This window comes from Homo sapiens, chromosome 3, assembly GCF_000001405.40.
Source record: "Homo sapiens chromosome 3, GRCh38.p14 Primary Assembly".
Lineage (NCBI taxonomy): Eukaryota > Metazoa > Chordata > Mammalia > Primates > Hominidae > Homo > Homo sapiens.
Window position 1 is genome coordinate 181070537 of NC_000003.12, and position 13501 is coordinate 181084037.

Genomic DNA, 13501 nt, shown 5'->3' on the forward strand with positions numbered 1-13501 from the left:
TACATATGGCTAGCCAGTTTTCTCATCACCATTTATTGAATAGGAGATCCTTTCCCCATTGCTTGTTTTTGTTAGGTTTGTTAAAGATCAGATGGTTGTAGATGTGTGGTATTATTTCTGAGGTCTGTTCTGTTCCATTGGTCTGTATGTCTGTTTTGGTACCAGTAGCATGCTGCTTTGGTTACTTTAACCTTGTAGTATAGTTTGAAGTCAGGTAGCATGATGCCTCCAGCTTTGTTCTTTTTGCTTAGGATTGTCTTGGCTATACAGGGACTTCTTTGATTCCACATGAAATTTAAAGTAGTTTTTTCTAATTCTGTGAAGAATGTCAATGGTAGTTTGATGGGAATAGCATTGAATCTATAAATTACTTTGGGCAGTATGGCCATTTTCACGATATTGATTCTTCCTATCCATGAGGATGGAATGTTTTTCCATTTATTTGTGTCCCCTCTTATTTCCTTGAGCCGTGTTTTGTAGTTCTCCTTGAAGAAGCCTTTCACTTCCCTTGTTAGGTGTATTCCTAGGTATTTTATTCTCTTTGTAGCAATTGTGATTGAGAGTTCATTCATGATTTGGCTCTCTGCTTATCTATTATTTGTGTAAAGGAATGCTTGCGATTTTTGCACATTGATTTTGTATCCTGAAGCTTTGCTGAAGTTGCTTATCAGTTTAAGGAGTTTTTGGACTGAGATGATGGGGTTTTCTAATTATGAAATCATGTCATCTGCAAAAGAGATAATTTGACTTCCTCTTTTCCTATTTGAATACACTTTATTTCTTTCTCTTGACTGATTGCCCTGGCCAGAACTTCCAATACTATATTGAATAGGAGTGGTGAGAGAGGGCATCCTTGTTGTGTACTGGTTTTCAAAGGGAATGCTTCCAGCTTTTGACCATTCAATATGCTATTGGCATGTGTTTGTCACAAATAGTTCTTATTATTTTGAGATATGTTCCATCAATACCTAGTTTATTGAGAGTTTTTAACATGAAAGAACATTGAATTTTATCAAAGGCCTTTTCTCCATCTATTGAGATAATCATGTAGTTTTTGTCTTTGGTTCTGTTTATGTGATGGATTATACATGTCTTCAGTTCTGTTTATGTGATGAATTTGCATTATTTTGAACCAGCCTTGCATCCCAGGGATGAAGCTGACTTGACCGTGGTGGATAAGTTTTTTGATGTGCTGCTGGATTCAATTTGCCAATATTTTATTGAGGATTTCACATTGATATTCATCAAGGATATTGGTCTGAAGTTTTCTTTTTTTGTTGTGTCTCTTCCTGGTTTTGGGTATCAGGATGATACTGGCTTCATAAAATGAGTTAGGGAGGAGTCCCTCCTTTTAAATTATTTGGAATAGTTTCAGAAGGAAGGGTACCAGCTCCTCTTCATACCTCTGCTGGAATTCGGCTGTGAATCCATCTGGTCCTGGGCTTTTTTTGGTTGGTAGGCTATTAGTTACTGCCTCAATTTCAGAACTTGTTATCGGTCTATTAAGAGATTGGACTTCTTCCTGGTTCAGTCATGGGAGGGTGTATGTGTACAGGAATTTATCCATTTCTTCTACATTTTCTAGTTTATTTGCATAGAGATGTTTATAGTATTCTCTGATGGTAGTTTGTATTTCTTGGGGTCATTGGTGATATCCCCTTCATCGTTTTTGTATTGTGTCTATTTGATTCTTCTCTCTTTTCTTTTTTATTAATCTAGCTAGCTGTCTATCTATTTTGTTAATTTTTTTCAAAAAACCAGCTCCTGGATTCATTGATTTTTTTTGGAGGGTTTTTTGTGTCTCTATCTCCTTCAATTCTGCTCTGATTTTAGTTATTTCTTGTCTTCTGCTGGCTTTTGGATTAGATTGCTCTTGCTTCTCTAGCTCTTTTACTTATGATATTAAGGTGTCAATTTGAGATCTTTCTAGCTTTCTGATGTGGGCATTTAGTGCTATAAATTTCCCTCTTAACACTGCTTTAGCTGTATCCCAGAGATTCTGGTACATTGTCTCTTTGTTCTCATTGGTTTCAAAGAACTTCTTGATCTCTGCCTTAATTTCATTATTTACCTAGGAGTCATTCAGGAGCAGGTTGTTCAATTTCCATGTAATCGTGTGGTTTTGAGTGAGTTTCTTAATCCTGAGTTCTAATTTGATTGCACTGTGGTCTGAGAGACTGTTTGTTATGATTTCACTTCTTTTGGATTTGCTGAGGAGTGTTTTACTTCCAATTATGTGGTTGATTTTAGAATAAGTGCCATGTGACACTGAGAAGAATGTATATTCTGTTGATTTGGGGTGGAGCATTCTGTAGATGCCTATTAGGTCCACTTGATCCAGAGCTGAATTCAAGATCTGAATATCCTTGTTAATTTTCTGTCTCATTGATCTGCCTAGTATTGACAAAGGGGTGTTAAATTCTCCCACTATTATTGTGTGTGAGTCTAAGTCTCTTTGTAGATCTCTAAGAACTTGTTTTATGAATTGGAGTCCTCCTATATTGGGTGCATATATATTTAGAATAGTTAGCTCTTCTTGTTGAATTGTTTCCTTTACCATTATGTAATGCCTTTCTTTGTCTTTTTTAATCTTTGTTGGTTTAAAGTCTGCTTTGTCAGAGACTAGGATTGCAACCCCTGCTTTTTTTGCTTTTCATTTGCTTAGTAAATTTTCTTCCATCTCTTTATTCTGAGCCTATGTATGTCTCTGCACATGAGATGGGTCTCCTGAATACAGCACCTCGATGGGTCTTGCCTCTTTATCCAATTTGCCAGTCTGTGTCTTTTAATTGGGGAATTTAGCTCCTTTACATTTAAGGTTAGTATTGTTATGTGTGAATTTGATCCTGTCATCATGATGCTATCTGGTTATTTTGCACATTAGTTGATGCTGTTTCTTCATAGTGTCATTGGTCTTTATATTTTGGTGTATGTTTGCAGTGGCTGGTACTGGTTTTTCCTTTCGATATTTACTGCATCTTTCAGGAACTCCTCCAAGGCAGGCCTGGTGGTAAAAATCCCTCAGCATTTGCTTGCCTGGAAAGGATTTTATTTCTCCTTCACTTATGAAGCTTAGTTTGGGTGGATATGAAATTCTGGGTTAAAAATTCTTTTCTTTAAGAATGTTGAATATTGGTCCCCAGTCTCTTCTGGCTTATAGAGTTTCTGCTTGAGATATCTGCTGTTAGCCTGATGGGCTTCCCTTTGTAGGTTGCCTGGCCTTTCTCTCTGGCTGCCCTTAACATTTTTTCCTTCATTTTGATCTTGGAAAATCTGATGATTATGTGTCTTGGGGTTGATATTCTCATGTAGTACCTTAGTGGTGTGCTCTGTATTTTCTGAATTTTCACATTGGCCTGTCTTGCTAGGTTGGAGACGTTCTCCTGGGTAATATCTTGAAGTGTGTTTCCCATCTTATTTCCATTCTCCCCATCTCACTCAGGTACTCCAATCAATTGTAGGTTCAATCTTTTTATGAAGTCTCATATTTCTTGGAGACTTTTTTCATTCCTTTTTCATTCTTTTTTCTCTAGTCTTGTCTGCATGCCTTATTTCAGCAAGGTGGTCTTCAAACTCTGTTATCCTTTTTTTCTACTTGATTGATTCAGCTACTGATACTTGTGTATGCTTCACAAAGTTCTTATACTGTGTTTTTCAGCTCCATCAGGTCATTTATGATCCTCTCTAAACTGGTTATTCTAGTTAGCAGCTCCTCTAACCTTTTATCCAGGTTCTTAGCTTCTTTGCATTGGGTTAGAACATGTTCCTTTAGCTCAGTGTAGTTTTTTATTACCCATCTTCTGAAGTCTACTTCTGTCAATTTGTCCATCTCATCCTCCATCCAGTTCTATGCCCATGCTGAGAGATGTTGCGATCATTTGGAGGAGAAGAGGTACTCTGGCTTTTTGGGTTTTCAGCGTTTTCACATTGATTCTTTCTCATCTTTGTGAGTTTGTCTAGTTTCGATCTTTAAGGCTGCTGACCTTTGGATGGGGTTTTTTGTGGGGGCCTTTTTGTTATTGATGATGCTGTTGTTGTTGCTTTCTGTTTGTTTTTCTTTTAGTGGTCAGATCCCTCTTCTGTAGGGCTGCTGCAGTTTGCTGGGGGTTCACTTCAGGCTTTATTCATCTGATTCACTCCCACACCTGGAGATGCCACTCAAGGAGGCTGCAGAGCAGCAAAGATGTGTGCCTGCTCCTTCTTCTGGGACTCTGACCTTGAGGGGCACCAACCTGATGTCAGTAGGATCACTCCTGTATTGGGTGTCTGACAACCCCTGTTGAAGGGTCTCACCCAGTTGGATGGCACAGGGAACAGGACCCATTTAATGAAGCACTTTGACTGCCCCTTGGTGGAGGGGGTGTGCTTCACTGTGGGGAAACACACTTGTCTGGGCTGCCTGGATTCCTCAGAACTACCAGGAGGAAAGGCTAAGTCTGCTGGTCCACAGAGACTCTGACCACCCCTCTCCCTAGGGTCTCAGGCTCTGGGAGACCCTGGTTCTGTCCCTGAGCCTCTGGCTGGAGTTATTGAAGTTCCTGCAGGGAAGCCCTGCCCGGTGAGGAATGAGGTGTAGAGTCAGGCCTGAAGAGGCAATCTGGCTGCAGTCTGCCAAGCCAATGTGTTGGGCTGTGGAGGACACATCATGGGACCAAGCCATCCAGCCTCCCTGGCTCCAGCAGGGGAAAAGCATGGCCTGGAGCTATAGAGATGAATGCTGCCCTCCCCTGACCCAGGGAGCTTAGCATGTTAGGCAGTTGTGAGTCCCAGTGCTGGCTGCTGCCCCTCCCCCAAGGAGCTCAAGCTGCTTAGACAGCAGGCAGCTACAGCTGTGGTGCTTGTTGCCCCTCTCCCTGGAAGCTCAACAGCTGAGAGGCTGTTGAGAATCTGTGCAGCTTGGGGGTTGGGATGCTAGGCCCCAACAGCATGGGTTCACAAGTGGGATCTTCTGATCCGGGGGTTGCACAGTTCTGTGGAAAAAGCACGGTTTCCTCAGTTGGGTAGCATGCTCACTCACTGCCTCCCTTGGCTGGGGGTTAGGGGCTCCCCTGACCCATGTGGCTCTCAGGTGGGCTACTGTACCACACTTCTCTTCCTTCCTCTCCATGTATATCGCACCAGCCTCCTAGTCAGTTTTGATGAGAGAACTTGAATACCTTGGTTGCCGGTGAAGGATTCACATGCTTACTCTGGTTCTTTTCCATGGGAGCCTCTGATTGCTGCTGTTTCTAGTCAGCCATCTTGGCCCTGCCCTCCTTCATAATATTTTCTTTACCCAGACAAATTATACTGTGTATTAACAGCTAAGAACAGTTAGTAAAGAAATTTGACATGTATTCTGATTGTTAGTTGAGTAAATATCAATGAGTTGAAAATTCATTCTGATCTGTGGCTAGCCTTTGATGAAGTTTTAAAATCTTTCTGTTCCTCAGTTTCCTCATCTTTAAAGTAGTTGTAATGATCCCATTTATCTCATAAGCATAATCATATACTGGTATAGGACATGGTGAGACTCCTGGAAAAGTGTTCTGAGATATGAGCAGATGGATGTGGTTGTTATTTCCATAGTATGTTAGTAAGACAAACATGTTACAAGAACAGCCTGGGTTGCTTTATGGCATCTTACTGTTTACAAAATTAAAGAGCAGCTGTTATATTATTATTTAGCCCCACAAACTTGTTATTAAGATTAGAATAACTACACAAATTAAGATGATCATATATAAACTATATATTTGCATAAATGATAAAATAATAATGGAAATCTCTTAATGGGAAAGAACCACTCAGACATCTAAATAACAATAAACTGTCATTTTCTATATTCCCTTCCAGTTCTAGTCCAATACTTTTGACCTTTTTAGATTAGAATGGTAGAGGAGGAAAAGTAACTTTTTCCTCAACCCTCATGGGTTCTTAGTTGGAATGAATCCCCATAACAAAAGACAGATTAACTAGAGAAAAACAAACAGAAGTTTACTAATATATTTCGTATATATGTGGGAGATACCTAGGGGCTGAGTAATTCTCAAAGAGGTAGTTTTGAATTCTAGCTTATATAGCATCTTCAGCAAAGAATAGTAAATTTTTAGAGTAGTGACAGAACAAAGGAAGAGAACTGTGTCTGTAGGGACAGGAAATTGTGAGAAGGCAAATAAATGGCACATAAGGGCTAGTTAGTAAATCTTGTTCATGTAGAGTCATCTGATGCCATCTCCAGGCCAATAAGAGTCTAAAATTGTCTTCAGTGCTTAACCTTTGTCCTCCCTGCTAGAGAAGGGGGGAGGGATACTCTTGTCTTTCTAAATTTATATCCTGCTTTTAGGCAATTAGAAAGCAGAGAGCTTTCCTGCCCTCTCAATTGCCTTGGGTTCAAAACAGTCCTTAAGCCAAAGAAGCATATTTTGGGGTGGCATGTTCTTGTCTCCCACATAATCATAATAGAGATAAAATTTACTACTCTCTTTTGTAACAATATACTCTATTTCCCCATATTTTGCATAGTTTTTCAAACTGCCATTTTATATGACTGTGTAATGTTCCATTAGATACAAGTATTATAATGTACTTGACCATATTCCTATTGCTGGTAATCTGTCTTTATCTAAAAAGGAGTAATGAAAAGTTAAAAGTGTTCCACTGTAGCTGGTAGAAATTGGTCAATGATGAGGAAAGGCTGTAAAGTGTCACTTTAACTCTGGGGTCTTGTACATAGGAGTGCAGCTGAGGACAGTAAGTGAAGATACAGATTTGGGAAATATCAGCACGTAGATAAGTCATTCAAGACATGGGGACTTGAAATGAGGCAGGATTAGTGTAGATAGTTCAAAGAGTAACTGAGGACAGGAATCTAAAGGACAGCCACATTTAAGGACAAGCAGAGGGAACAAAGTTCAAAGGAGATGAAGAAGGAGTAGTCAGAAAGAAAGAGTAATGTCACAGAAGCCTGCTGAGGCCTGTGTTAGTCTATGACTTACACAGGGGCAGAACTGACTCTGGAATCTAGGGCTATTGATTTCAACTCCAGGTAGAGTTCTCCCACCTTGTAGGTAGGCACGATTCTCTCCTTTAACACTGTTTTCTACCTGGTTCCCATCAAGGACAGGATGCCTTCAGCTACAGATCTGTTTTGATTCCTTTAAATTGTGTTAGTCTCTCAATTTAAACACATAAACAAAGTCTAAGAAGGGACAGCTTGGTATAAAAGTTGTTTTGTGTATTTCTACTGGTATCTTACAGCAGTGATTGGCAAAAACTGGTTCAAGGACATTGGAAGTTCAGTTTCAGTAGCCCTAAATTGGGGTCCAGGCTTTTATTTTTTAATGATTTCCCAGGTACTTCTGATGAACATTCAGGTTTGGGAAACTTTGGCTTATTTATCCGAAGAGCATAAAATCTTCACAGAAGATTTTAGAATGGGACATCTAGAGGTTTGCTATACCAGGAGTAAAGAGATGAAGCATAGTCCAATTTTCATGACAACTTATTCTCATAAAGAAGTGGTCCAGAGCACTTGTATTTGCAGATCTTTTTTTCTTTGTTCAGAATATTAGGCAGGGTTCTGAGGAAATTGAAAAGAAGACAGCATGAATGAATGACTGAATGCACTCAATCTATAGAGGGAATGAGATCCCCAGATAGATATTAACAGAAAGAACATGTTTAAAGATAATCACAGCCAGTGGGAAAGGCAGAGTGGTATCCTCTGAGGGAGGAGCCTTGCAGGCTCCCTCACTTGCATCCTGTTTTCATTTCTTGGACCGCTTCATGGAAACTGTGTGTTGCTGTGGAACATGCCTTGGACTTGGCATGAGATGCCTTGAATTGAATGTCCACGGATATGGTTTGGCTCTCTGTCCCCACCCAAATCTTTTGTTGGATTGTAATCCCCAATGTTGGCAGAGGGACTTGGTGGGAGATGATTGGATTATGGGTGCAGATTTCCCCCTTGCTGTTCTGGTGGTGACAGTGAATTCTCATGAGATCTGGTTGTTTAAAAGTATGTAGCAGCTGGGCGCAGTGGCTCATGCCTGTAGTCCCAGCACTTTGGGAGGCCAAGGGGGGCAGATCACCTGAAGTCAGGAGTTCGAGACCAGCCTGGCCAACATGGTGAAACACTGTCTCTACTAAAAATACAAAATTAGTTGGGCATGTTGGTGTGCACCTGTAATCCCAGCTACTCAGGAGACTGAGGCATGAGAATCGCTTGCACCTGGGAGGCGGAGGTTGCAGTGAGCCAAGATGGTGCCAATGTACTGTGGCCCGGGCAACAAGAGCAAAATTCCATCTCCAAAAAAAAAAAAAGAATGTGCATAACACTTCCCCTTTTGCTGTCTCTACTAAAAATACAAAATTAGCCAGGCATGATGGCGCATGCCTGTAATCCCAGTTACTTGGGAGGGTGAGGCAGGAGAATCGCTTGAACCCGGGAGGCGGAGGTTGCAGTGAGCCGAGATGGCGCCACTGCACTCCAGCCTCAGTGAAAGAGCAAGACTCTGTCTCAAAAAAAAAAAAAAAAAGGGATTACAGGCTAACTGTAACAAACAGAACAATCAGATCAGATTAATGTCTAGATTCTTGGGTCTTATGTCCTAATAAACAAAAGGTTAGTACTGACAATATGATACGTAAAAGATATGTCTATGACAGCTAAGGTGAGACAGAAGCAAAATAGATTTATTGTAGAAAGAAATGGCACAAGAAAACATTGGCATGCAAGTGCTTTTGATAACCATCTCTTATGAGATTTACAATAAATAGCATCTTTGGATTTATTTTGAATATGAAAAAAAAAAGAACGTACTTTGTAATATTCTCCCCAGCCCTTAAGAAGGTACTTTGTAATGTTCTCCCCGCCCTTGAGAATGTACTTTGTATGCCTATCCCAAACCTGTAAGAACTAATGATAATCCCACCACCCTTTGCTTACTCTCTTTTCGGACCTAGCCCGCCTGCACCCAGGTGATTAAAAAGCTTTATTGCTCAAAAAACAAACAAACAAACAAAACAAAACAAAACAAAAACCAATAGCCTCTTCCATTGCCTCTTTACAGGCACACTACCCAAATACCATCACTTTAAACTTTTAGCTAAGCTAGAAATATGACCTTTTAACTTAAATACTTATCTTTACTCCTTTTGTTCTAAGGGGGATGCTTTTGATTTTATTATAAAAGCTTAGGTGTTTTAAAAATCTTTCGTTTAGTCTTATTTTTCCCTTTATTTTATGTGGCCTTTTAGAAACAACAGGTGTTTCTTTGTGGTGAAGTTTGCCTTAATTAATTGAGTGAAAGGAGAGGAAGGTGACTTGTTCTGGTAGATTGGACAGACTCAGGAGGCTCTTTAGCTAGCATTGTAACAAACCGTGTTCTATTTGATGAATGGATGGATCTTATCTATTTAGAGTCTTAGCTAGATGGAAAGAGTAATATTGAAAGACTATGCCTTAAATAATATACTGGAGCTAAAAATATGAATTTGAGTGTCTGATTTTTTTCCATTGGCTGAGAGTTTAAATTCATAAGTACTCTATCACCATTTTTCATTGTCAGTGATTTCCTGGAGACTTTAGATTTAAGGCTTAGTTTTGCCATTTATTTTTAGGTCTCTGCCAATTTGTCCATTAAATTAATAACATCAATTTTAAGCTTAAGTTCAAATGCATCTCTTAAAATATGAATACTATTCTAATTTTCTTTGGTCAGCTCAATTTCAGAGCCTTTAGTGGCCCTCACTGAAGGAGTTAAGGGATTAGAAATGGAACTGGGACCAAGACAAGGCAGATGTTCCCCTGTTATCAATATTGAATGTTGTGTGTAGCATGCTGTCTTAAGAGAATATATTATATATATTTTCCCTTACACGCACATATGTGCATGTATATGTACACATACATATGTGTGTGAGTGTGTATACAAAAAAACTATCATAGAACTTCCTTACTTTCATTTTCATAGTAGAGTCATTTTTTCACGTTGGAACATACAAATTTATCGTATTCTTTTAAATAGCTGCAAGGTATTTCTTTGGATGAACATGACATTCATTTAGTAAGAAATATTTATTGAGCTTATTGGGAAGCTGAGGCGGGAGAATTGCTTGAGCCCAGGAGGTGGAGGTTGCAGTGCGCTGAGATTGCGCCACTGCATGCCAGCCTGGGTGACAGAGTGAGACTCTGTCTCAAAACAAACAAACAAACAAACAAAAACTACTATATGATCCAATCTCACTTCTGGGAATGTATTCACATAATTGAAATAAGGATAGCATCCCTATATTCATTGCAGCATTATTCACAATAGCGAAGATGTGGAAAACATCTAAATTTCCATGGACAGATGAGTAGATAAAGAAAATGTGGAATATATTTACAACGGAATACTATTCAGCGTTAAGAAAAAGAAGGAAGTTCAGCCGGGCGTGGTGGCTCACGCCTGTAATCCCAGCACTTTGGGAAGCCGAGGTGGGTGGATCATGAGGTCAAGAGATCGAGACTATCCTGGCCAACATGGTGAAACCTTGTCTCTACTGAAAATACAAAAATTAGCTAGATGTGGTAGCAGGCGCCTGTAATCCCAGCTACTTGGGAGGCTGAGGCAGGAGAATCACTTGAACCCGGGAGGAGGAGGTTGCAGTGAGCCGAGATCGCGCCACTGCACTCCAGCCTCAGTGAAAGAGCGAGACTCTGTCTCAAAAAAAAAAAAAAAAAAAAAAAAAAAAAAGAGATTACAGGCTAACTGTAACAAACAGAACAATCAGATCAGATTAATGTCTAGATTCTTAGGTCTTATGTCCTAATAAACAAAAGGTTAGTACTGACAATATGATACGTAAAAGATATGTCTATGACAGCTAAGATGAAACAGAAGCCAAATAGATTTATTGTAGAAAGAAATGGCACAAGAAAACATTGGCATGCAAGTCCTTTTGATAACCATCTCTTATGAGACTTATAATAAATAGCATCTTTGGATTTATTTTGAATATGAAAAAAAAAAAAGAACGTACTTTGTAATATTCTCCCCAGCCCTTAAGAAGGTACTTTGTAATGTTCTCCCCGCCCTTGAGAATGTACTTTGTATGCCTATCCCAAACCTGTAAGAACTAATGATAATCCCACCACCCTTTGCTTACTCTCTTTTTGGACTCAGCCCGCCTGCACCCAGGTGATTAAAAAGCTTTATTGTTCAAAAAACAAAACAAAACAAAACAAAACAAAAACCAATAGCCTCTTCTATTGCCTCTTTACAGGCACACTACCCAAATACCATCACTTTAAACTTTTAAAAGTGTTTTTTTTCTGGTATTTTGTAAACATGTGCTTATGTTGCAATCTCGTGTTTTTTTCAGTTAGGCAGTCTGTTTCCTGTTTGATAGTTGTAGGTTTGCTCTTTTTCCTTCTCGACTCCTCCTATTATAATTATATTATATTTATTGCTGAAGTCAATAATCAGTTTATCATATTAATACTATCTAAAGATTGTTCACCACTGAGCTAAAAGGTATGCTCTGATTATATTTCTTCTTTTATTCAAATCTTAGTTTTTCTTCAAGTAAACAAAGTAGGCCAAATCCGGCCTGTCACTTTTCTTTGCAAATAAAGTTTTATTGGAACACAGGCTCATTCACTTACTTATTGTCTAGGGCAGCTTTTGTGATACAACAGTAGAACTCAATAGTTGTGATAGAAATTATATGGTCTGCAAAACTTAAAATATTACTCTCTGACCTTTTATGGAAAAAGTTTGCTGACGCCTATGCTACTTAGTAATGATTGCACTTTTTCATTTTCTTTGTTTATGTAATTTATTAAAATTTCAGTTCAAAATATTTTAAAATTTCTTTTGAAATTTACTTGAACCATTAATTATTTATCTAAGTGTGGTGCTTAACTTTGCAGCATTTGGAGATTTTCTGTTAATTTTTTTGGTAATTGATTTTTATCTTAATTCTGGTATGGCCAAGAGAACATAAGTAAATAAATTCTAATCTTTAAAATGTATTGAAATGTGTTTTATGGAATGATATGTGGTCAATTACAGTAAATTCCCTACATATGCTTTAAAAGAATGCATATTCTGCAGTTTTTAGGATCAATGTTCTATATATGCTTGAGGGTCGATTTCTTAATTGCACTATTAACATTTTCTGTATTCTTACTGATTTTTGTTTATCAGTTTTTGAAAAAGGTACGTTAAGCTCTCCCACTATGATTGTGGATTTGTCTATTTTTCCTTAAAATTGTTGTATTTTAAAAATACACTTTGAGGTTATGCTTTTAGGTGAGTACAAATTTAAAATTGTTATATTTTCCTGGTGAAGTGACTTTTTTCATTATAAAATCTCCCTCTTTACCTCAAGTAATTTTAATTATCCAAAAACATTAGTATAATTTTTTCTTGTGTTTAAATTGTATTGTATATTTTTTCCATTCTTTCATTTTCAACTATTCTACATGTTTATTTTTAAAGCATATCTCTTGTAAGCAGCTTATAGTTGTATCTTTAAAATAAAAATTCAGTTGATAATCCAGTTTAATTACAAAATATTAATTTAATTTACAGTTGAAGTAATTACTGGTATATTTATTTAAAACATACCATTAATTTTTTCCCCTTTACTCACTTATTCTATGTGCTTGAATTAGTCATTATTGCTGCATAACAGATTAACAACTTACAGTCTTAAAAACAACACACATTTATCATTTCACAGTTTTTGTGAGTCATGATTCTGGGAACAGTGTAGCTGGGTCCTTTGCTCCAGGGTCTCTCACAAAACTGCAAATTAAGGTGTTGGCTGGGGCTGCAGCTATCTTTTTTTTTTTTTTTTTTTGAGATGGAGTCTTGCTCTGTTGCCTAGGCTGGAGTGCAATGGCATGATCTCAGTTCACTGCAACCTCTGCCTCCTCGTTTCAAGTGATTCTCCTGCCACTGCCTCCTGAGTAGCTGAGACTACAGGCGCCCACTGCCACACCTGGCTGATTTTTGTATTTTTAGTAGAGATGGGGTTTCACCATATTGGCCAGGCTGGTCTTGAACTCCTGACCTTGTGATCTGCCCGTCTGGGCCTCCCAAAGTGCTAGGATTACAGGCATGAGCCACTGTGCCTGGCCGGGGCTCCACCTATCTTAAGATTCATTATCAATCTCATGTAGTTGTTGGAAAAGATTTTAATATTCTTTTGTAGTTCTGTAAGTTGCACTTGATTCTTTGTCATAGATATCAGTTCTCTGGCAAACTTTTTCACCTTGACTCTTATTTTCCTAAACGTATTAATCATAGTTACTTTAAAGTTTGTGTCTGATAAATCTAATAAATGATCACCTGCTCGTCTGTTTCTGTTGTCTAGTTTTTTTGGTTTGATCCTTACTCTTGGTATTATAAATTATAGAGTTTCTGGATGATTTTCAAAGATGATTTTCTTTAGTTTCCAGCATGCACTTATAGTAGAAGCAGATCACTTTAACCATACTAATATCGATGTTATTGGGAGAATTAGA

The 13501-nt window shown here is 38.4% G+C and overlaps 1 long non-coding RNA gene across 2 annotated transcripts in view, besides 1 other annotated feature; it reads left to right on the forward strand.

Annotated features, from left to right (window-relative positions):
- Positions 1-13501, forward strand: part of SOX2-OT (SOX2 overlapping transcript) — a 685549-nt gene that overhangs the window by 13857 nt on the left and 658191 nt on the right. The window lies entirely within an intron of this gene.
- Positions 4667-5298: an enhancer, noted in NCBI's record as "NANOG-H3K27ac-H3K4me1 hESC enhancer chr3:180792991-180793622 (GRCh37/hg19 assembly coordinates)". NCBI's record gives its function as "activates a minimal SCP1, AML or CMV promoter by ChIP-STARR-seq in naive H9 embryonic stem cells {active_cell/tissue: H9 hESC(naive)}" and the evidence as "EXISTENCE:reporter gene assay evidence [ECO:0000049][PMID:30033119]".